The sequence below is a fragment of the Homo sapiens genome, chromosome 20 (genome assembly GCF_000001405.40).
Source record: "Homo sapiens chromosome 20, GRCh38.p14 Primary Assembly".
In the NCBI taxonomy this organism is placed as follows: Eukaryota; Metazoa; Chordata; class Mammalia; order Primates; family Hominidae; genus Homo; species Homo sapiens.
In genome coordinates this window covers 24,745,079-24,767,492 of record NC_000020.11, presented here as the reverse complement: position 1 = coordinate 24,767,492, position 22,414 = coordinate 24,745,079, and the positions used below count along the sequence as shown (strand labels likewise).

Genomic DNA, 22,414 nt, shown 5'->3' with positions numbered 1-22,414 from the left:
ATGGGATCAAGCTGTCCCAGCTGTGGGCAGAGGAGTGGCCAGACTCCCCTCCTGCTGAGCACCCTGCCACCTGGCTTTGCCACTTACTCTCAATACCAAAAGACAAAAATCCAGATGAAAATTTCCTCTGGAATCTGGATAACAGCCATTGTTTTGGCTAGTGCTGCCAAATGCTATGGGTTCTACCTTCTCCCAGCGATGGTGGCTCAAGAGGCTGTTTGGGGTTCTGCAGCCTGGGTGCATGCACTCAGATTCAGTCTTTTTGACTGGGGGCCACGGTGCCTGTGGCCAAGGATAAATTTCAGTGACTGGCCCAGCAGTCAGCCATGTAGACTGAGGCATGAGCCCGAGTGGCTGGAAGCAGCCCTCTACCTGCAAGTGTCTTGTCTCCAGGATTCCAAGATGAGTCACAGACTGACTTCAGCTCTGGGAAAGCATGAGACACAGGTTTTCTGAAAGCACCTATCAGGGTGTGGGTCTCCCAGTCCAGGGTGAGTGCACACCTGCTGGGCCTCAGGCCCAGAGGAGGCCCCTCCTGGGCCCCCGGCCGACTCAATGACAGGGCCAGGAAGCAGGTAGCTCCTCATCTGCATTCTTCCACAATCCAGCACCCACACTGCAGTCTGATTTGAGAAGGCCATCAGGTGTAAAGACGATGCTTCTCAGACTGCTTTATAACCAGGTGTGGTCACAGGACTAAATTCAAGTCCATGGGGCATAAGTCACTGTGTCTCATATGGCAGCTTCAGATGCCTTTCTTAGAAGATAACTGCCTTTTAACCTCTGTCAGTTCCTCTCTTTTGCTGGCTAGAAGCAGATGAGATGGCTGGAGCTGGAGCAGCCATTTTGGACGGTGAGATGACCCTATGATTGTAGAATTTGTACAAGGAGGGAGGAGGAGAAAAAGCAGGCAACTCTTAATCTTCTTAGACTTGGCTTTTCTCCATCACTTCCACCCTGCTGGTTCATTCTCAAGCTCAACAGGGAGGTCTCCCACAATTCTAGCCTCACCTTGTGGCCACCTCCAAACCAGAGGAGAGAGTATGCCCCTGAGATCTCAAAGCAAGCCCTAGAATCAAGTCTCACTGTCCCCGTGTGGCTTCAGCTGGGTCATGGGCCTGTCCTTAAACTGATCACTGAGGTGGTAAAAGCTTTGTGTGCTGTGTTTGTTGGCATACAAAAGAGCATTCAAGCATATTTCCTCAATTCCTGTTTGTATCTTTAAACCAGCCTTTGCTTTACTGACTGTGCTTTGCAACTATTGATTCCTCACCTCTTTTGTTTGATGCAGGGGATCTGAGGTCCAGGGAAACGAGGTGACAAGCCCCAGAATGTGTTTAGGGGGCATGTATCACTTTTCTGATGCTAGGCCCCCTTTCTATTTTGGGGAAGCCTGACAATGGTCAAAGCTGGCCAGGGACACCATCTCCCCAACCTAGCATCTGGCACAGGTGTGGGCCTGTGAGCAGAGCTTGGCAGACCTGGGAATACTAATGGCAATGGCAGCCAGCGGTGGAGGCAGTGGGGTCTCACCGGGCCATTCAGAGTGATCTGGACTTCCGAGTCCCTCAGTCCCTGGTCCTAACCTCCTGAGCCCCTTCCAACATCCCTACTTCTCTGCTTGTCAACAGAGTCTGGGGTTGGCAGCCAAAGACTAGATGGCTGCAGAAAACACTCTACCGGTGGTGGAGCCTGGATCTCTCCCCGAGCCCCAGCCCAGCACTTGTGCAGAGTTGGTGCTCTGTGAGTCCCAGCCACGTGGGACTGGCTGGGCCTCCCATGCAGGGCTTTCCAACCTGAGCTAGTGTTGACCGATTCAAACATGAAAACAGCCAACAGCAAGCCAGGGCTGCTGCCGAGCCCACCAGGGTGCTTGAGGACTCAGATGCAGAGTCCCAGGGGAGCTAGGCAGGCACAGATCCCTACACCTGCAAAATCAGAATGTGTGGAGGTAGACGAGGGTCCCAGCAGGAATCATGGACTGAACGCTCCGGGAGCAGATACAGAACTTCAGGGCATCTCGGGGCAGTTGACTGGCTGCAATTATTTCCACATAGGGTTTCTTCCTAATCCTCCAAGAAGAACTTGTGACAGACAAATAAATATGACCAAACCCAGAAGGCATGCCACAAGACAAGGATGGATGTGATTTTTCCAAATGAGGAGTAGGCTGGGGCGACTGAGATTTGAACAGCAGTGGGCTTGTGTCCTTGTGTGTGCATGTGTGTGTGTGTGTGTGTGTGTTCTCCTGTGTCTGTGTTAAAATTTAATGTTAGCTTTTTCCTCTTCATTCCTCCTTCCAGGTTACACAACAAGGTCTGTGGAGAGGAGGCAAGACTGGCCTGGGCAGGAGGGGTGGTAGCCTGTGGACACACAGCCCGGCCGTCGGCCACCTCCCTTATGCCTTTCGGCATCATGAGGCCCATCGGTGTCAGGAGCTTTGTTCCGGAATCACATCCTTTCCCTCCCAGGGCTTGGCCACCCTGGAGATGGAGATGACACACAGCTGCCTACCCTGGCCCAGAATTTCAGCAGGTCACATGCTGAGTCCGTGGTGCTCAGCCAGTGATTCCAGCATCGTTTCAGAGAAGGCTGAGGGAACTGTCAGCCTCTCATGTAAGTAGCACTCAGCATTAAAACCACGTCTAAAGCAAGTGATGGGGAAGGGACATGGTACCTGTCATCATTTGTGTCCTTTGTCATCAGGAGAGTCCAGGGCTCTGAGTGGGTGATGGGCACTGTGGCTAATGAAGGAGACAAGAGGCTGCTGCTCTGGGCAGTGCTCCTGGGAGCGGAAAATTGAATGAGGTGGATGTAGTGAGTGGGGGATGAGAGTCCTGGAAGAAAGTCCAGAGCATCACAGGGAAGTCTGGAGGCCGGGTCGCTGCCCACCAAGAAAAAACTCTTGTGTCTTTCAGAAAAACAGGGGTGTCCTTCTGCTTACTCTAGAGTCCCGCTGTCGTGGTGGCAAGCCTAGTGGGGCTGCTGGGGGATGGCACACAGTGCAGAGCAGAGACAAGCCAGCCCCGAGCCCGCCTGACCTCCAAGCCCACAGGCTGGAGCTGCCCAATGAGCCATTGTCGACTACAGCATCGCAAGATGGGAGCACAGGTGGGGTGGTTGAAGCTGCTCACTCTGGGTTGGTGTCAAACAGGCAAGGGAAGGGGTGCAGGTTGGGGATCTAGCGGCGTCCATCTCAGGAATGTGCCGGGAAGCCCAGGCTGTCTTCTTTGCAGCCGCCAAATGAGGAAGCCTCCCTGGAGGCCAGAGCAGATCCCGCTGCTCGGCTGCCATGGCCTGGTGCTGCTGTCCTCCACCCCGCACCTGACTTTGGTCCCCAAGTCATCTTTCCCAAGCAAAGTCTTGGGTGCCAGTTGTGTCTGCAATGTGCCCTGGGCCCACCCACCCAGTCTGCCCTTGGTGAGTCTCCAGTTTCTCTATAAAATGGGAAGGCAGCCTCCACCTCAGGGTCATCTGGAAGTCAATCAAGGGGCCTCGGGGGTGAATTCTGCAGGGAGGGCCATCTAGGCACGTCCCTGTTTTACGATCAACCCGGTGAGCGCTTCTCCAATCCCACCACGAGCGTGTGCTGGGCGGCTTCCCATTCCCGTGGTCAGTAAGGGCGACAGGGAAGCAGTGCATGCCCCAGGTGTTTCCTTCACTCCGTCGTTTGAACCAGCGAGACCTGGCCAGACGTTTGATGTCTGAGGTTTGCTTTTCAAAGAAAAATTCTTTTGGCTTGATGTTCTTGACTGCTGTACTTGCTCCCTGACCACCAGCACCCCAGGCGCGGGACGTGCACTGGAGGCCCCTCCTTCCAGCTACGGTTTTCTGCGGGCTGTGACCTTGGCTCCGAATGTGGGGAGGAAGCTGCTGCTGTTGGAGGCCCGCATTTCGGAGGCCTTCCCACTCCTGGTCCTTTCTCCAACCACCAGCAGCGTGGAGGAGTAGGAGCCTCGCAGCTGAAGGGAGCAGTGTTTTTGGGGTGGTTTGCAATTCTTTCTCTTAGTGCTGCTTTTGCTGTGTGGGCGGTGCCGACACTTCTCACTTGAAGTGAGAAGCTGCTGGGGCATGCTCAGGTCTGAGTCCAAGGCTGGCAGACTTAGGTTCCCACATGGCTCAAGGGAACCCTAGAGATTTGCTGTCACTTAAATGTCCCCAAGCTCTGCTATAGATGCTGCCTTCAGAGCCAGCCACATGTAACTGTCGTCTGAGATCCAGCTGCCAAGGGCCTGAGACTCTACCAAGGCTCTTTCTGGCTGGGGCCAGGCAGGGCTGGGTGGGCTGGATCCCCCCTGGCCATCCAGAGGGAACAGCCCTCAACCAGGGCTGGGGGGGTTCCCAAGTGCCCCAGCTTCCCTGTCTGGGGGAAAGCCCAGATGGGGCTGCCAGCTCCCAAAGCTCCATGTAGGGTCAGTCCTCACTCCCTTCCCCTTCCCCAGCCCACCTTCCCCTCCTCTGCCAGGTTGCACACCTCTTCTCCCAGCTCAGCCTCTTGCCTGGGATCCGTGCCCAGGGTTTGCCTCTGGGGACCACACTGAGAGAGCTGGCTGTCTCACCTACATGTAGAGTGGGTTTGAGGGGACGATCCCAGAATATTTGGCACCAAGTTCAGGGCTGCTTGGGTGAGGATGGGCAAGGGCAGTGATGATCAAGGAGTTCCGTGTTTTCTCCTGTGGCTCAGAAGCTGCTTTCCTTGCTTTCTGGAAAAGTCTTGGGGCAGAACATGGGATTTGCTGTCTTCCAGGCAGGAGACTTACTGGCTTTTCAAGGCAGTGAGCACCTGCCAGCCACCCTCATGTCCCCTTGGAGCATCAGGGATCTTCTGCATAGAGGCTTCCCCTAGGCAGGGCCATGCAGAGACCGCCATTGGAGGTCTGGAGAGGTCCTGGGGAGTGGGCCAGTTGGCAAGGCAGGGGGACCCTCCCACATGTATACACAGCAGGGGAGGGCCCAAGGGAAGGAGCTTCATGGGGCTTAGGCAGTTGGGGGACAATGGAGGAACAGGGGAGACCTGAGTTCCCATGGACAGCAGCGTCTTACTGTGAGTGAAGATGTAAGTTGGACCTTCTTGGAAATACACAGCAGGGTTGCACGTCCTTGAAAGTAGACCTGAAACTATGTGTGTGTCACCTTTTTGTTGAGCATGGGGTCTGCAGCCAGCATGCCCCCTCCCATCTATCTTTCCTTCTTACAATAACTAAGTTTTTATTCTATCTGTATCTATATCTATCTATTTATACACACATATTATGCAAATACTTCTCATGCCAATCTACATTTATTTCAGTCTCGCATTTACAGTATGTATAGTGCAAACACACTTTAGTTGTTATAGTAAATATGAATATATACATACACACACACACACACACACACAGAAGAAGAATGTTCAGTTTTGCTGCAGTCCAAGAGATATTGAGAAGACCACTTCCCCACTGAATTTAGCACGCATGTGTTGCACTCTTGCTGAATACCAGGCACAGGCCTCTGCAGCACATACCTTCAGAACTCCTTCACTAGGGCGCTGGCAGATGTCACGCTTGGTGTAGGGGTCCAGAAAGAAAGGCTAATGTTGTATGACAGCATGCGTGTGTGAGTGCACAGGCTGGTGGAGCCTTTTCCTGAAACTTGGATGCTCCTCTGGAGGTCCACACACAGGGCAGAAGCCCTGACACAGGCTTCTGCCTCCCTCCCATGAGGCATCCTCATAAGCTCTGTCAGAGGCAGCACCTGAGCTGGCGACAAGGCTGTTGAGTCTGTGCTGTGCTAGGCACTGGAGAAGCAGCTAAACCAGACAGGCTACCCCCGCCCTCCTGCAGCTGACAGTCTAGGCAAGGGGGATTCAAGTAAAGATTCACAGAGGAGGCCAAGATGCTCTTCACAAAGAGGGGCCAAGGTGCCACTGTTGCGGCTGTGGGATGCAAAGTGAGAAATGGTTTTCAGGGCTGGCCTGGGCCTCATTGACCTCCAGTTGTGTGCCCTGGGCAGCTCACAGTCTTATCTGACTTACCCATACCTGTCCTAACAGGGCTGGAGTGCACAGAGAGCTCCCAGCAGGACTGAATATCAGTGCAGACACCTACACAACACCCACACCTCTGTGTTGATCTTGGTGGAAATAACTGAGCAGGTTTGCTGGGCACCATGTGATCCTGAAATACAAGCAGATGTCTCATGCTGAATCAGTCCAGAGATGCATTTTTTAAAGATTTGATTTAAGAAAGAGATTTTATTTTTTAGAGTAGTTTCAGGATCACAGAAAAATTCATCAGAAGGTACAGAAATTTCCCATATAACCTGTGCTCCCCCAACCTTCCCCATTATCAACATCCCACACTAGAGTGATACATTTGATTTCTTTTGTCAGAATTTTATAGTTTTCCTCTTACAGATCATGTGTGTATGTTATTGGATTTGTATCTAAGTATTTTATTTCATTTGGTGCTAATGTAAGTGCTGTTGTGTTTTTAATTTAAATTCCACTTGTTCATTGCTGGTATATAGGAAAGTGATTGACTTCTGTATATTAACCTTATATCCTGCAACCTTGCTGTAATTGCTTATTAGTTCCAGGAGGTTTTTTGGGTCAATTATTTTAGATTTTCTAAAAAACAATTTTGTCATTTGCAAACAAAGACAGTTTTATCTTTTCTTCTTAATCTTTGTATCTTTTATTTCTTTTTTATTTTTAGACAGGGTCTTGCTGTGTCACCCAGGCTGGAGTGAAGTGGGGCAGGCAGAGCTCACTGCAGCCTCAAACTCCTGGGCTCAAGGGATCTTCCTGCCTCAGCCTATTGAGTAGCTAGGACTACAGGAATGTACCACCAGGCCTGGCTACTCATTTTCTTGTCTTATTGCATTAGCTAGGACTTCTAGTACAATGTTGAAAAACAGTGGTGAGAGGGGGGATCCTGCCTTTTTCCTGATGTTAGAGGAAAACTTTTGAGTTCTTCACCATTAGTTATTATGTTAGCTGTAGGATTTTTGTAAATGTTCTTCATGCAGTTCAGGAAGTTCACCATATTACAAGTTTGCTGAGACTTTTTATCATGAATAGGTGTTGGATTTTTATAAAATGCTTTTCTGCATCTGTTAATATAATCATGTGATTTTTTTCTTCTTTAGCCTGTTGATATGATGAATTAGAATTACTTTAATTGATGTTTCATTGTTGAATCAGCCTTGCATACCTGAAATAAATCCTATTGGTCATAGTATAGAATTATTTTCATACATTGTTGGATTGGATTTGTTATTTTTTTTTGAGCATTTTTGCATTTATATTCATGAGAGATGTTGGTCTGTAGTTTTCTCGAGAAGTATTTGTGCAGTTCCGGTATTAAGGTAATTCTGACTTCATAGACAGAATTCTATGTGCAGTTCCGGTATTAAGGTAATTATGCAGTTCTGGTATTAAGGTAATTATGTGCAGTTCCGGTATTAAGGTAATTATGTGCATTTCCGGTATTAAGGTAATTGTGCAGTTCCGGTATTAAGGTAATTCTGACTTCTATGTTCTAAAAGAGATTGTACAATTTCTTCCTTAAATGCTTGGTATAATTTACCTGGGTCTGGTGCTTTTGGTTTTGCAAGGTTGTTCATTATTGATTCAATTTCTTTAATAGATATAGCTCCATTCAAATTCTCTGTTTCTCCTCATGTAAGTTTCAACAGATTGTTTCCTTGCAGGAATTGTTCCATTTCATCCACGTTATGAGGTTTGATGACTAGAGCTTTTCATAATAGTTCTGTATTATCCATTTTAATGTCTATGAGATCTGTAGTGTTGTGCCCTCCTTCATTTCTGATGTTAGAAATTTGTGTCTTCTTTTTTTCTTTAGTTAATCCTGGCTAGAGGCTTATCAATTTTATTGAGCTTTTCAAAAAACCAAATTTTTATTTTGTTGATTTTCTTGATATTGATTTTTTGTTTTAATTTCATTGATTTCTACTCTAATTTTTATTATTTACTTTTTCTGTTTACTTTGGATTTAATTTGCTCTTCTTATTTTAGTTTCCTAAGGTGGAAGCTTAAGTTATTGATTTTAGCCCTTTTTTCTTTTCTAATAGGTGCATTCAATGCTATAAATTTCTCTCTATGCATTGCTTTCACTGCATCCCACAAAATTTGATCAGTTGTATTTTCATTTTCAAAATATTTTTAAAAATCTCTTAAGATTTACTCTTTGATTCATGTGTTATTTAGAAATGTGTTGTTTAATATCTATATGTTTGGGGATTTTTCCAGCTCCCCTTCTGTTATCGATTTCTAATTTTAATTCCATTGTGTTCTGAGAAAAGACATTGTGTGAGTTCTATTGTAAGTCTGTTAATGTGTGTCCTATGCCCCAGAATATGGTCTCTTTTGGTTAATGTTCCATGTGAGCTTGAGAAGAAGGTGTCTTCTGTCATTGTTGAATGAAGTAGATTGATGTCAATTATATCCAGTTGATTGATGGTGCTGATGAGTTCAATTATTTCCTCACTAATGTTCTGCCTGCTGTATCTGTCCATTGCTGATAGAGAGGTGTTGATGTATCCAACTATAAGAGTGAGTTCTTCTATTTTTCATTTCATTTCTGTCAGTTTTTGCCTCATGTATGTTGATGCTCTGTCATTAGGGACGTACACATTAAATATTACATTGTCTTCTGGAAGAATTGACTCCTTTATCATTATATAATGCACCTTTGTATTCCTAATAACTTTCTTTGCTCTGAAGTCTGCCCTGTCTAAAATTAATATAACTAATCCAACTTTCATTTTATTAGTGTTAGCATGGTATATCTTTCTCTATCGATGTAACTTTAACCTATATGTATCTTTTTATCCAAACGAGTTTTTTTTAGAGAATGTATAATTGGGTGTTGTTTTTTGATCCACTCTGACACTCTTCATCTTTTAATTGGTGTATGTAGACTATTGACATTTAAAGTAGTTATTCACATAGTTGGAATAATATCTAGCATGCTTGTTACTTGTTTGCTATTCACTGCCCTTGTTATTTATTCCTACTTTTGCATTCTAGTCTTTCTGCCTTTTGTTGTTTCATTTGAGTATTTCATATCATTTTATTTACTCTTCTTTTTGTCATATCAGTTGTTATTATTATTTTTTTGAGATGGAGTCTTGCTCTGATACCCAAGCTGGAGTGCAGTGGTGTGATCTCGACTCACTGCAACCTCCGCCTCCTGGGTTCAAGCTATTCTCCTGCCTTAGCCTCCTGAGTAGCCGGGACTACAGGCATCCACCACCATGCCCGGTTAATTTTTGTATTTTTAGTAGAGATGGGTTTCACCATGTTGGTCAGGCTGGTCTCAAACTCCTGACCTCGTTATCTGCCTGTCTTGGCCTCCCAAAGTGTTGGGTTACAGGCTTGAGCCACCGCATCCTGCCAGTTATAATTTTTAAAACTGTTTTTTAGTGGTTGCCCTAGAGTTTGCAATATAGTCCAGGTCCACTTTCAAATAACACTATACCATTTCACAGGTAGTGCAAGTACCATATAATAGCAAAATAATCCTAATTCCCCCTTCTCATCCTTTGTGTCATTGTCGTCATTCATTTCACTTACACATAAGCACATGTATAATATATAATACATATACATATGTAAACATACATACTCAAATATATTGTTATTATTTTGAATGGATTGTTATCTGTTAGATCAATTAAGAATAAAAACTAAAAGTTTTTATCTTTGCTTATTCCTTCTCCAATGCTCTTCCTTTATGTAAATCTGAGTTTCTAGGCTGTATCCTTTTCTTTTTCTCTGAAGAACTTCTTTTAATATTTTTTTGCAAGTCAGGATTACTGGCAACAAATTTCCTCAATTTTTGTTTTTCTGAAAAAGACTGTTTCTGCTTCATTTCTGAAGAATAATTTCTTAGGGTACAGAATTGTTGGTTGTTGCTGGTTTTTTGTTATTTGTTTTTTTTTTCCCCTCTCAACACTTTAAATACTTCACTCCATTCTCTTCTTGTTTGCATGGTGTCTGAGGATAAGCTGGATGAAATTTTTATTTTTATTTCTCTATAGATAAGATTCTTTTTCCTCTGGCTTCTTTAATTATTGTTTCTTTATTTTTCATTTTCCTCATTTGAATGTGGCATGCCTGGGTGCAACTTTTTGGGGGGATTTATCCTGCTTGGTATATTCTCTGAGCTTCCTGAATCTATGGTTTGGTGTCTGACATTTGGGGAAATTCTTAGGCATTATTGTTTTAAATATTTATTTTGTTTCTTTTTTTCTTTCTTCTCCCTCTACTATTCCCGTCACATGTATATTGTGTTGTTTCTAGTTGTCCCACAGGTCTTTTTTCAGTCTTTTTTTATTTGTGTTTTAGTTTTAGAAGTTTCTGTTGAGATATCCTCAAGCTCAGAGATTCTTTCCTCAGCTATGTCCAGTCTCCTAATAAGCCCATAAAAGGCACTCTTCACTTCAGTGACAGTGTTTTTGATCTGCAGCCTTTTTGGGGGATGTTTCTTAGAATTCCCATCTCTCTGCTTACACTGCACCTCTGTTCGTACACGCTGTCTGCTTTGTCCATTACAGCCCTTAGTATATTAATCATAGCTGTTCTAATTCAACGTCTGGTAATTCTAACATCTCTGCCATATCTCGACTGTGGGATGAAGTGGAGTTTGGCTGGGGCAGTTGAAAGCGAGCCTGGGCCACTGAGCAGCCCAACTCCAGGGGAAAACCGTCTCCCTTGTGGCTCCCCCATCTGCTGAGAGCTACTTCCAGTCAGTAAAACTTTGCACTCATTCTCCAAGCCCATGTGTGATCTGATTCTTCTGGTATACCAGGGCAAGAACCTGGAATACAGAAATCCCTCTGTCCTTGTGATATGGAAGCGGGTCTAATTGAGCTGGTTAACACAAGCCACCTATAGATGGCAAACTAAAAGAACACTCTGTAATACACACCCACTGGGGCTTCAGGAGCTGTAAACATCCACCCCTAGACACTGCCGTGGGGTCAGAGCCCCACAGCCTGCCCGTCTCTATGCTCCCCTAGAGGTTTGAGCAGTGGGGCACTGAAGAAGCGAGCCACTCTCCCTGTTGCATGCCCTGTGAGGGGGACAAGGGAACCTTTCCCGTTTCACTGTGACCTCGATTCTCTGATGAATCTAAAAAGAGTTGTTGATTTTTTGGTTTGTTCAGCTTTTTTTGTTTGTTTGTTTCTAGGATGAAGGAATGACTTGCAAACTCCTTACCTGCTAGACAGGAAAGCAGAAGTTGAGATGCACTTTTTAAAGGAGTTGGGATGATTAATATTCAAGATGATAATAGAATTTAGATATTTAAGAAGACAAAACTGAATTAAGACAGAAATGAGAAAAGCATTCTCTCTTACCCCTTTTTGTAGTTTCCCAAACACTGTCTCACTTGGGTCTCCAATCACCCTTTGTTGTGTAAACTAAAAATAAAGTCCTAGACTTCTCACCAACTGAACAGACCCTCTCTTGGCCAAAGGATCCCAGAAAAAAACATAAAAACTGAGTTCCCAGCCATGACAGGGCAGGAGGTCAGACACCCTTCATTTCTCCCCTCCCTCTTGTGGTTTAGAAACAACTGACCAGCACGAATGTTAAAATAGAGATCATAAGACTGAAGGGACTGACTCTGTGTGGCAATAAATTGCTGAAGTATAAACAGGGCCTAAGGCCATGAGAGTCAAGGGTTAAATCACTCACCCCTACACTGTAAGAATAAACCATGTTCTGTCATGAGGTTTTTCTTTTTCTCTAGCAGCTGAACAAGCATTGGCTTTGGGATAAGCAATGTTGAAACAATTGCAGCTCCACTGGACATTGACCCCAGGTTTCACAAACTGTGACTACAGCTTTGATTGAACAACAGGCTGATTTCGGTAACTTTCTCCAGAGAAGAGACCACCAACTGTGGACTGGTTCTGGATGGTTTACAGAGGCTTCACACTTGAGCGCCTTTGTGTCCTGAAAAGACCTTTTGATATATAGGGCCTAACAGTCATGCATTTAAATGTTAAGTCTCCACCCCAAGGCGAACATGGATCATATGTGACATACATGTTCTATATGTGTGCATCAGGATCCTTGTTATGAATATTCACAGCTCCTTCTGTAACCTGTTGAATATGCATGTTTAGCCAACTCATTTGGCATAAAGCTCCTCCCCCCACCTATTTTTCTTAAAAGTGCTTGACTTTGGTCTTTGCCAGAAGCTGTGCTTCCCAGCCTGCAGGAAGACTACCTTCCGGCTGTGGTCAGAACCCTTTATAAGAAATATGGTTTCCTTTCCAAATGTATAAATTGTGTGATTTTTAAGTAAACAGTTGTATTCCAGGATTGTTTTGCCCCTATGTTCAGAGGGGGAAACTGAGGTGCAGAAGGTTTTCTTGACCTTCTCACCAGAAGCATAAACCTAGACCTCTTTGTATCTGGGGGATAGAAAACAGGCCAGCAGCTCTGTCTGTTTTGTGGTTGTTAAGTACCGTGCATTATTAATATCATTGTTAGTAACTTGAAGGCCTTTAAGTGAGGAGTGTATGAAAGGGAAACAGCCCCTGGCACGCTGTAGCCAGCTTCCGTCCAGCAAGCTGGGTGGTGCCCAGGACCACAGCGCAGCACAGAAGGAAGGGTCCTGACCTAGGATACTCCAGGCAGCACAGCCAGCTCGAAATCTCTGCCCCGGCCACCATCTCTAAAATTGAGCCATTAGAAAGTCATTGTTTTTGAGTTAACAAGTGTTCTCATTTAAAATGCAAATGGCTGTGGGAGGAATAGCACAGATATTGTACCCTGAACAATGTTTTTCATAAGGTCATACAGGATTCTGGCAAACACAAATGCCCACAGAGGACAGGCCAGTTAAGTAACTGTGCAAATCTGGCCACATCAAAGATTATAGAGTCAGCAGGGGCAGAAGAACTAGGAGCAAATGCCCCCTCGAGATTTTGCACCTAATAAGAGGGTGCTCAGGGCAGAGGAGAAGGTGTTCTGAAGCAATTGCTCAGAAGAAGCCGATTTACTTCTGTCTTTGAGAAACTTATGGTTGTTTTCCTCATCCATCCTGACCCCAGTTCCTGCCTGTCTGGCGTGCCCTGTCAAGAACAGGGCTGAGTTTCTGGAAATTTAATGCTTTCTAGATATAACACTTGAATGCAATTGGTGATTCCCAAACCACAGCCCTGGTACCAAATGCATCAAGATTACCTAAGGAAAGGATTGAAACAAACAAGCAACAACAATAACCTTCCTAGGGCTAAACTTTCAGAGATTCAATAAGTCTGAGTAACACCTAGGGATCTGCTTATTTATTTAAAAACAGCCAGGAGATTAAATAATCATTTATTTATTGGAATTTCCAATCCAGACAACAACAGAAAGAATAGTTTATTGGGCCCACATATACTCATCTCTAGCTGATGGATGCAAGGTGTTTTTTCAAAATTGAGATACAGCCCTCCCGTGTGCTCCCTCTGCCTGCACACTGGGTTGTTTTGAAGCCTATCCCAGGCATCCTATGGTGTTGTCATTAGGCATTTCAGTATGCATTTCTAAAAGATGGGTGCTTTTAATGTAACGTAGACACCTAACCATCAACAGTCCTCAGCATCAAATATCAGTGTTTACTATTGGTTCATACAAATCAGCATCCAAACCAGGTCCACCTGTTGCATGTTATTGGCCTGTTTTATTTCTTTTAACCCAGAGATTCCCGCCCCTTTTTTTTTCCTTTGAAATTTATTTGTGGAGGAACCAGGTCCATGATCTCTTAGAGCTTCTCAATTTTTCTTATGCACATGAATCACCTGCAGATTGTGTTAAAATGCAGCATCTGGTTCTGCAGATCTGAGAATGGGTCTGGGATTCTGCATTTCTAACCGGGTCCCCCGTGATGCTGAGGCTGCTGGTCCTCAGACCACATGCAGCGGGTGAGGCTGCTGAAGGAAGAGTGTGGAGGTCCAAGCACTGTCCATCCTCCCTTCTCTGTACAGGGGGTTAAACGCAGGCCCTGGTCAGACCCAAGTTCACCACAGGGCAACCATGCTCTCACTCCAGCTGTGAGCTCCCTGGCATGGCTGGAAGTCTGCACAGAGTCAGGGTCACAACCCATGAGGAGGCTGGTCTCTAAGTTCTCCCCAGCTCTTGCCATCTGTAGCCCTGTCTACTGTTTGGGTTGCTACGCGCTGGGTGGATGACACAGCAACGTTTAGTCCTCACAGTTCTGGAGGCCAGGTGGTCCAATATCAAAGAGCCAGCATGTCTGGTGTGTGGTGAGGGCTGGCCTTGGCTTGCAGGTGGCCTTCTCCACATGTTTTCACATGGTGGAGGGAAAAGAGGTAGGAGGCACCCTCTCCCCTCCTACAGCCTCTCCCCATAAGGGCTCTGCCTTCACAACCCAATTACCCTCCCTCAAAAGCCCCACCTCCTAATATCACCCTTGTTGAGAGTTAGGGTTTCAACTTACGAATTCTGGGAGACACGAACCCATAGTCCACGATAAGCCTGTAGTTGGAGGCTTTGACTCTGACAGCCTCCTATCACTTGTCCTTTGTGGGAGACGAGGCTGGACTGAGCGCCTGCCTGCAGAGGCTTGACCAGGCTTGACCAGGGCTTGCATGTTGGGGCTTGCACTGCTTCCCCTGCCACGTGGGGATAGAAGCCCTGGTTAGACCATTGGATGACAAGAGGACATCAGGCAAGGGGCCTAGCTGACGGCCAGTGCTAGGGCCTTGGGTACAGGTTTGAGGCCATCTCAGGCTTCCAGCCCCAGCTGAGCTCCCAACAGAGTGGGGCCACAGGACTGACCATCCACAGAACTACCCAGTCATAGAATTGTGAGAAGCAACACCTCTCGCTGTTGTCTTAGGCCACCATGTCCTGGTGTTTTGTTACACAGCACAGGATAACTGAAACACCCAGTGCAAGGCCTGAGCTGGGACCTCCTTACCTTTCTACTTTGAGGGCTTGGCACACATGGGCTAACTCGTGACATTTGGATGCCTCAAGAAGGAAACCAGCTTTGCAGTCCCACACATGCCTTTAAGTTTTCAATCATTGCTTCTGTTAAAAGGAAGGCCCACAGCAAAGCCCTTGGGAATGCTGGGTCTGGAGCTGCAGGCTCCAGGGTGGCCCTGGGGCTGACCCCCCTTCTCTTTCCCTTGCAGCCACACTCTGTTCTCTCAGCTTCCATGGCTTTGTGTTTCCAAGGCATGTAAGAATATCGGCCGGGCGTGGTGGCTCACACCTGTAATCCCAGCACTTTGGGAAGCTGAGGCGGGTAGCTCACAAGGTCAAGAGATCCAGACCACCCTGGCTAACATGGTGAAACCCCATCTTCTACTAAAAATACAAAAATTAGCTGGGCGTGGTGGTGCACACCTGTAGTCCCAGCTACTCGGGAGGCTGAGGCAGGAGAATCACTTGAACCTGGGAGGTGGAGGTTGCAGTGAGCCGAGATTGCACCACTGCACTCCAGCCTAGTAACAGAGCAAGACTCTGCCAAAAAATAAAACAAAACAAAACAAAAAAAACGAATATCAACTTCAGGGCTAATTTGAGAATTAAGTAGGATGAGGTCTTTAGTGCTGGACCTGATACAGAGTGGCTATGCAACATGTTATTATTATTATTGAATACCAGTCGCACACTGAGCACAGGAGCCATTGCTCCTTCCCTCTGTTGCTCGAAGTGTGCTTCATGGAACAGCAACACCAGCATCGCCTGGGAGCCCCAGCTCACACCTACTGCATCAGAAACCCTGGCTGCAGGGCTCCGAAACACACAAGCTCTGTGGGTGATTCTGCTCCTTTCTTTTATTCATCTATCTTTCAGTGACAGGGTCTCACTCTGTCACCCAGGCTGGAGTGCAATGACCTGATTATAACTCACAGCAGCCTTGAGCTTCTGGGCTCAAGCAATTCTCCTGCCTCAGCCTCCCAAGTAACTAGATTGCAGGTGTGTACCACCATACTTGACTAATTTTTTTTTTTTTTTTGAGACAGAGTCTTGCTCTGTTGCCCAGGCTGGAGTGCAATGGTGCAATCTTGACTTACTGCAACCTCCACCTCCTGGATTCAAGTGATTCTCCTGCCTCACCCTCCCAAGTAGCTGGGACTAGAGGTGCATGCCACCATACCTGGCTAATTTTTTGTATTTTTAGTAGAGATGAGGTTTCACCATGTTGGCCAGGTTGGTCTCGAACTCCTGACCTCAGGTGATCCACCCGCTTTGGCTTCCCAAGGTGCTGGGATTGCAGGTGTGAGCCACCATGCCCTGCTTGGCTAATTTTTTAATATTAAGTTTTGTGAAGACAAGGTCTCACTATGTTGCCTAGGCTGGTCTTAAACTCCTGGCCTCAAGTGATCCTCCTGCCTTGGCCTCCCAAAGTGCTGGGATTGGTAAATTTTCTATTATAAAATAAAACACAGATACAGAAAACCCCATAAAAGATATAGCTTAGTGAATTATTTTGGGTCAACACCTTACAGCCACCACACAGGTGAAGAAGCAGACCTGCAGCCTCTCCTATGCCTGCCCTGACTAGACCAGCTCTTTGCACTTCTCCACAGCTTAGCATCCAGGTGCAGTCCTTGGATCCTAGAGTTTCATCTTCCTTTTTTAAACTGTGATGTCTCAATTTATAGGTTCCCTGTACACCTCTCTTTCCCTTTCTGTTGAGGAACACAGGCTGGTTCGCCTGCAGTTTTCCCGTCTGGGTTTTGCAGGCTGTGCCCACGTGGTGTAGACCAAGGCCTGTGCTACCCTCTGTTTCTCACAGCTGGACCCAGAGCCGGATCAGACCCAGGCACCATTCATCTTCCAGACCAGACAGGTGTGTTGTCTCATCAGGAGGCATCCGATGTCTGGGTGATTCTCTTTGTGTAACATCAGCAGCCACTGGGCTGGCATGCCTGCAAAATGGTGATTGTCTGTTTCCATCATTTTTTTTTCACTTATTAGCTGGGATAGTTTCTTAAAGAGACTTTTCCTCACCTATGCCTGGATTACCCAGGGGTACCATTCGTACAGGAAAAGGAGGACAAACACTGGGTACTTTCTTTTATTTAAAACATTGAATTGGTTTTACAACATCTTCAAAAGGTGCCCAATTAATATTTTAAAAATACTATGAATTCAGGAATGTATAGTTGATGGGTTTTCAACATATTGCAATTATTCTCCTTTTTGAAGATTGACCTCATAATGAGAGTCTCTCCATGCTGGCACCTGAGCCTTCTGATGTGACCCTCGTGGTCTTTGAGGGTATCTTGGCATCTGCTAGGGTGCTCCAGGCTCATCTCATGCATTTCGTCTCTCAGACATGGGACGAGGCATGAAGCCCAAGAAGCCCTCCTTATTATTTTTTTTTTTAGTGGGAAATGACATTTCAAGACCACTGTCTGGATGCTGGATGCACTCATTGCTATTGGAATGGTCATTCCTTCCATGTATGTATGTATGTACGTATGTATCTATCCATCTATCTATCTGTCTATCTATCTATCTGTATCTCTCTCTCTGTCTGACTGTCTGACTACCTATGTAACTATCTACTTTGAAGGTAAAATACCTAATGAGTTTTATTCTCTATACAAATTTAGAATTTACAAGGTTTTAGAAAAGGGGCAACCCTCTTCTATTCCATCTGTATCTTCTTTCTTCCACAACAAGAACCCTGATTCTCAAGCCTACAGTGATTGATAGAATATAACATAATTATTTATTTTATCCCAAATTAAAGTCAATGAAATAAGAATAACAATACCACCACTCCTCCCTCCCTCCCTCCCCCACTTTTTTGATTGTGTGGGATCTATGCTGCCTGAGCTCCAGACCCTCCCACGGGCCATCACCCAGGCTGGGTTCCAGGGGCGACTCTATCTTCAGTGCCCACCAGTCCCTGAATGGGTGTCTCTCTCATCAGCTCGCTCGTCTGAGGCTTAGTGTTTAGTAGATTCCTCAGGAAATGTTCACGGGAATGATCTTTGCTGAGTTGTTACATACTGATAATAGTCTATACATGGCCTTTATCATTAAAGTCAGTTTTGCTGGATATGAAATTCTTGGCTAACATTTTCTTTCCTTGAGTATTCTAATGCATTTATTTATTTATTTATTTATTTATTTATTTATTTTCTGGCACACAGTGTTGCTGTTGAAAAGTTTGATGATAATTTGCTTTCTTCTCGTTACAAGTCATTTGCTCTTTTTGCCTGAATGCTCAAAAGATTTTTTTTCTTTTCTTTACAGTTTAATAATTTTACTAGGATATGTTTTGGCATTGCTTGTTCTGGGTTGATAATCGTTTCTCCTGCTTTGATTGTCTTTCTCAGGCTCCTAATTTCTTTATATTAGATTTCCTTTGTCTATCTTTCATATTTGCCACTTTCTCTCAGTCTTTTCATCTCTGGACTCGTGTTTTTCAGTTTTTACAAATTTCCTCTTTTTGCCTTCTATTTTTCTATGGCATTATCCCTTGTGTGTATTTGGTGTTATGTTCCTTTCATTTTAATCATTACCTCTGCAATAATTTTCTTTTATTTCAAATTCTCTAGAGTTTTGTTACCTTATTTATGAATTCTCCCAAAGTCATTTAAGAGTGTTCATGTCATGTGGTGTTCCTAATGTCTTTTAGTTTATATTGAAATAATAGATGATAGCTCTGATTTTTGTGGTCCCATTTGTCAGGCAAGTTTTGATTGTTAGTAGGAAAGGTTTTCTGCTGCTTCGTCTCTTTTTCTTGTGTTAATTTTGTATTTTGTGTCGTATTGAACCTCAATGCACTTCTGTTGCTCAATTTTTATGTGAAATGGTTTTCCTGATATTTTAGAAGGAGACTGATTGCAGGGGAGGATTTTTAACTCTGCAGAGCTCTCTCTTCCGCACTTTCCTTGTAGTATTAAGAACAGGGTGGTCTGCCCTCTGAGGTGTCCTGGGTGGGTTCCCCTCCCCACTTCAGGTTTGATATGGGGATCTTGCTCAATTTTGATTTTTCTCACCCAATCTCTCCTCAGTGTGGGCTCTGTCCTGGCTGGGAGCCCAGACAGGCCAGTTTGAAGGATCCACGGCCCAGCAGGCTCACACTTGTACTTGCTGAAGCATTAGACAAATGCTAGGCTTCAACTGCTGTTTCCAAATCACCCCCATGCCCTCTGCCTTTTGGAGGCTCTGTTTCCAGGTGCGAGGGTTGTCTCCTGTTTCCTTCTGCTGCTCCCACACTATCTGGTTGGGGGCTCGTGGGTGTTTGTCCCACCCACTTGAATGTTGGGTTGCTGTCCACGAGTTTTGGATTTCACTGTCAAGTTGTTCTGGGCATTAAGGCTTCCATAGCAACATGACACAGGCCTGGTAGCAAAAGCAACAGAAATCTATTGTGTCACAGTTCTGGAGGCTCAAGTCCCAGGTCCAGGTGTGGGCAGGGCTGGTTTCTCATGAGGACTCTCTCCTTGGCTTGCTGCACCTCCCGTGGCCTTCCCTCTGTGCATGCACATCTGAGTATCTCTCTGTGCCCAAAGTTCCTCTTCTTATGAGGACATCAACAAGGTGGATTAGGACCCACTCTAATGACCCCACATTAAGTCAATCACCACTTTAAAGGCTCTATTTCCAAATACAGAGCCCATTCTGAGGTACTGGGAATTAGGGCTTAAACATATGAATGTTGCAGGGAGGCCATTCAGCCCATAGCATGCCATCTATTTTTAGGGGGAGGTTTAGGGAGGGTAAGCACTCTGTCACTGCTGCCACTTTTTCCCAGAATTTCCCTTTCTTGTACCCGAGTGAGCCAGAGAAGGGACACTCACCACCCCCGGATGTGGGTCCCTTTGTAGCACCTGCCCTTAACAGCTGGAGTGCCTGACGTTGCAGAGCTGCCTGCTGCACTAAAGCACAGACCCTCTGCAGCAGGGACTCTGCCTGTCCCGTTGTCACTGCATCCACAGCAGCAGTAGCTGGTTCATGGCAGGTGCTCAACACATTGCCAAGGAGTAAACACGCAGCGGGAGTGCGTGCAGAGCAACGAACACAGCCTGAGAGATAGGAGCCGTGTGTTCAAGTCCAGCTCTGCCCGGACCCTGGTTTGTGCCTTTGAGTGAATCACCTGAAGTCTTTTCCCACCACCTGTGATGGCTGAGGGGATCAGGTTGGTCATATTCCTTACCTCTGGGCTCATGTTCCTTACCTCAGTGTGGGCATATGTGCATGCTGCCTGAAGAGGGACTGCTGAAGTAGCACAGTCCACAAAGTAGAAATCTCTTGTTTTACTTTCTCTGCAATTAAAAGTGACAGCAGGAGTCAGCAGCATCCAGAAGGGTCAGAGGTCACTGCTTCTTACCAGCATCAACAGCTTCTGACAAGGGCACTGCCTTACTCTCAGGCCACTGACTGGAAAAGAGGCCTTGGCTGTGATAAGGGCTCTGGGAGTGTTTTAGAGAAATACAGTTTTCAGGAAAGAACGGAGCTCTTGTAAGACACAGATCCTAGGGAGGCAGCTGAGGACTAAAATCATTGACTAGAAAGATGAGAGAAAGAGGGCTGGTCTTTTCCACACCATTTATTTGATTCTTGCTTGCACCCACCATTTATTTATCACCGCAGCTGTTTTCTGGCCCTCGCCACATACATGTGTGGTTGCCCTCACATCTCCATCTGTGAAATTTATCCACGACCTTATTAAAAAGAAACTTAAATCAGGATCAACAAATTTCAGTTCATTTTAATGCTAATTTGTTAAAAAGAAAGGGAATCTTAGCTGTGGCTACGTTGGGAGTTGAGTCCGAGAGCTTGGACCCGGAGTTCAACGGTGAGGTGTTCAGAGCCGTGGCCATGGCCTGCAGAGCCCTGCTCTGGAGCACAACCTCCCCGGGACTGTGCAGGTGGGAGAAGGAGCAAGGCGGAGTTTCCTCGCCCTCCTGCGGTTTGGCCCTGGGCCAGGGTCTGCAATGCAGGTTGGGGAATCCTCACTGCCCAGGAGCCCTGAACAAAAGGAACCTGGGAGGCTGGGGCGTGGCACGGGCTGGCATGGGAAAAGCGCTGAGTCAGACTGTGGAATACGCCTTAGCCAACGCCCCCGGTGAGGAGGCCTGGAGGGAGGTGCCTGGGTGAGGACTGCAGATGCCTACAGGATCGTGGCTGAGTCCTTGACTCCCTGCAGAGACTTCCTGGCATGGGCTTGGCACAGGTCTGGGGGGGGGGAAGGCAGCTTTCCCTGTTGGGCCTGCCGGGCAAAGGCTTGTCAGTGCCTGGGGCCCCCTCCTGAAGGATCACACGTAGGACTGTGGCTGGGAGTGGCCTCCTCAGTCTCCACCCCAGCCTTGGGCCCGATGACTGTGGCTAGTGCACTGGAGGTAGACACCACCTGGCCCCCAAGAATGGCTGGTGAACCCTGACCTTCCCGTAAAGGACCACGTAGGCACGGTAGGACTGCAGGCTGCCTCTCTGTTGCCAAACACCATCTAGGAGGAGCTGGAGGGTTTCCATTCCCATCCGACTGTGGGACCGGTCTTCTTTGCTTCAGTTCCATGTTTCTCAGAGCTGTGACCCACGTCAGCAGTTTTGCCAGCTCTCCTGTAAAACTCTTGGTTTTGTTTTCCTTAGTCTTTAATCTCATGCCAGGGTCTCAAGCCTGGTGCACAATAGAATCACCGGGAGCCTTAAACGATATTGACAGCCAGGTCCCTGCCCTGGAGGTCCTGGAGTGAGTCTCTGCATGCATCCCCCAGGGGATTGGAACGTACAGCCAGGTGGTGCCACTGCCCCAAAGAAAAGGCACATTCGCCACCAGGTTTCAGAGCCAGCTCTAAAGGGGACTGAACACGTGTAAAAGTAGCCCTTTCTGGGGATTTGAGGCATAAACCAGTTGTTTCCTTGGCCAAGAGCAGGGTGAAAACCAGGAGGAATATGCACTGAATAGGACTTGCTAAGAGGCTTTGAAAACCTGGACAGGCTCTTCAGGATCTCCGGACGTCCTGTGTATCCCACCCACAGGGCCTGGCATGCGCTTGGCTGGCACCAAGTTCTTCATAATGAGAGGCAAATGGTTAGAAAGATAAAGCAAAATAAGCTTGCAAAGAAAAATAAAAGCAATGAAGAAACAAAGGTGGCCACGCTGGGGCCTTTGCAGATGCTGGAATAGCGGGCACTTTGGTTTAAAACAGCAATTTTTCAGCTTCAGTGCCCACAGAGTCTGCTGGAGGGCGTGTTCAGAGGCTGCAGTCCTCACCCCCAGAGATGCTGACTTCCTGAGTCCAGGGAGGGGTCTGACATCCTGCATTTCCAACAAGTTTTCAGACAATGTCAATGTTTCTGGGGGTCTTCGGGCAATGCGTTAACACTGGTCAAATGACCAAGATAAAGCAACTTCAGAGAAAATCAGTGAGAAAACAGAAAAGAAACAAAGGTACTTTTGGCTAAAACCCA

The 22,414-nt window shown here is 46.4% G+C and overlaps 3 annotated features.

The window, feature by feature from the left end:
* Nucleotides 3,789-4,289: an enhancer, noted in NCBI's record as "H3K4me1 hESC enhancer chr20:24743840-24744340 (GRCh37/hg19 assembly coordinates)". NCBI's record gives its function as "activates a minimal SCP1, AML or CMV promoter by ChIP-STARR-seq in primed H9 embryonic stem cells {active_cell/tissue: H9 hESC(primed)}" and the evidence as "EXISTENCE:reporter gene assay evidence [ECO:0000049][PMID:30033119]".
* Nucleotides 19,465-19,964: an enhancer, noted in NCBI's record as "H3K4me1 hESC enhancer chr20:24728165-24728664 (GRCh37/hg19 assembly coordinates)". NCBI's record gives its function as "activates a minimal SCP1, AML or CMV promoter by ChIP-STARR-seq in naive H9 embryonic stem cells {active_cell/tissue: H9 hESC(naive)}" and the evidence as "EXISTENCE:reporter gene assay evidence [ECO:0000049][PMID:30033119]".
* Nucleotides 19,965-20,466: an enhancer, noted in NCBI's record as "H3K4me1 hESC enhancer chr20:24727663-24728164 (GRCh37/hg19 assembly coordinates)". NCBI's record gives its function as "activates a minimal SCP1, AML or CMV promoter by ChIP-STARR-seq in naive H9 embryonic stem cells {active_cell/tissue: H9 hESC(naive)}" and the evidence as "EXISTENCE:reporter gene assay evidence [ECO:0000049][PMID:30033119]".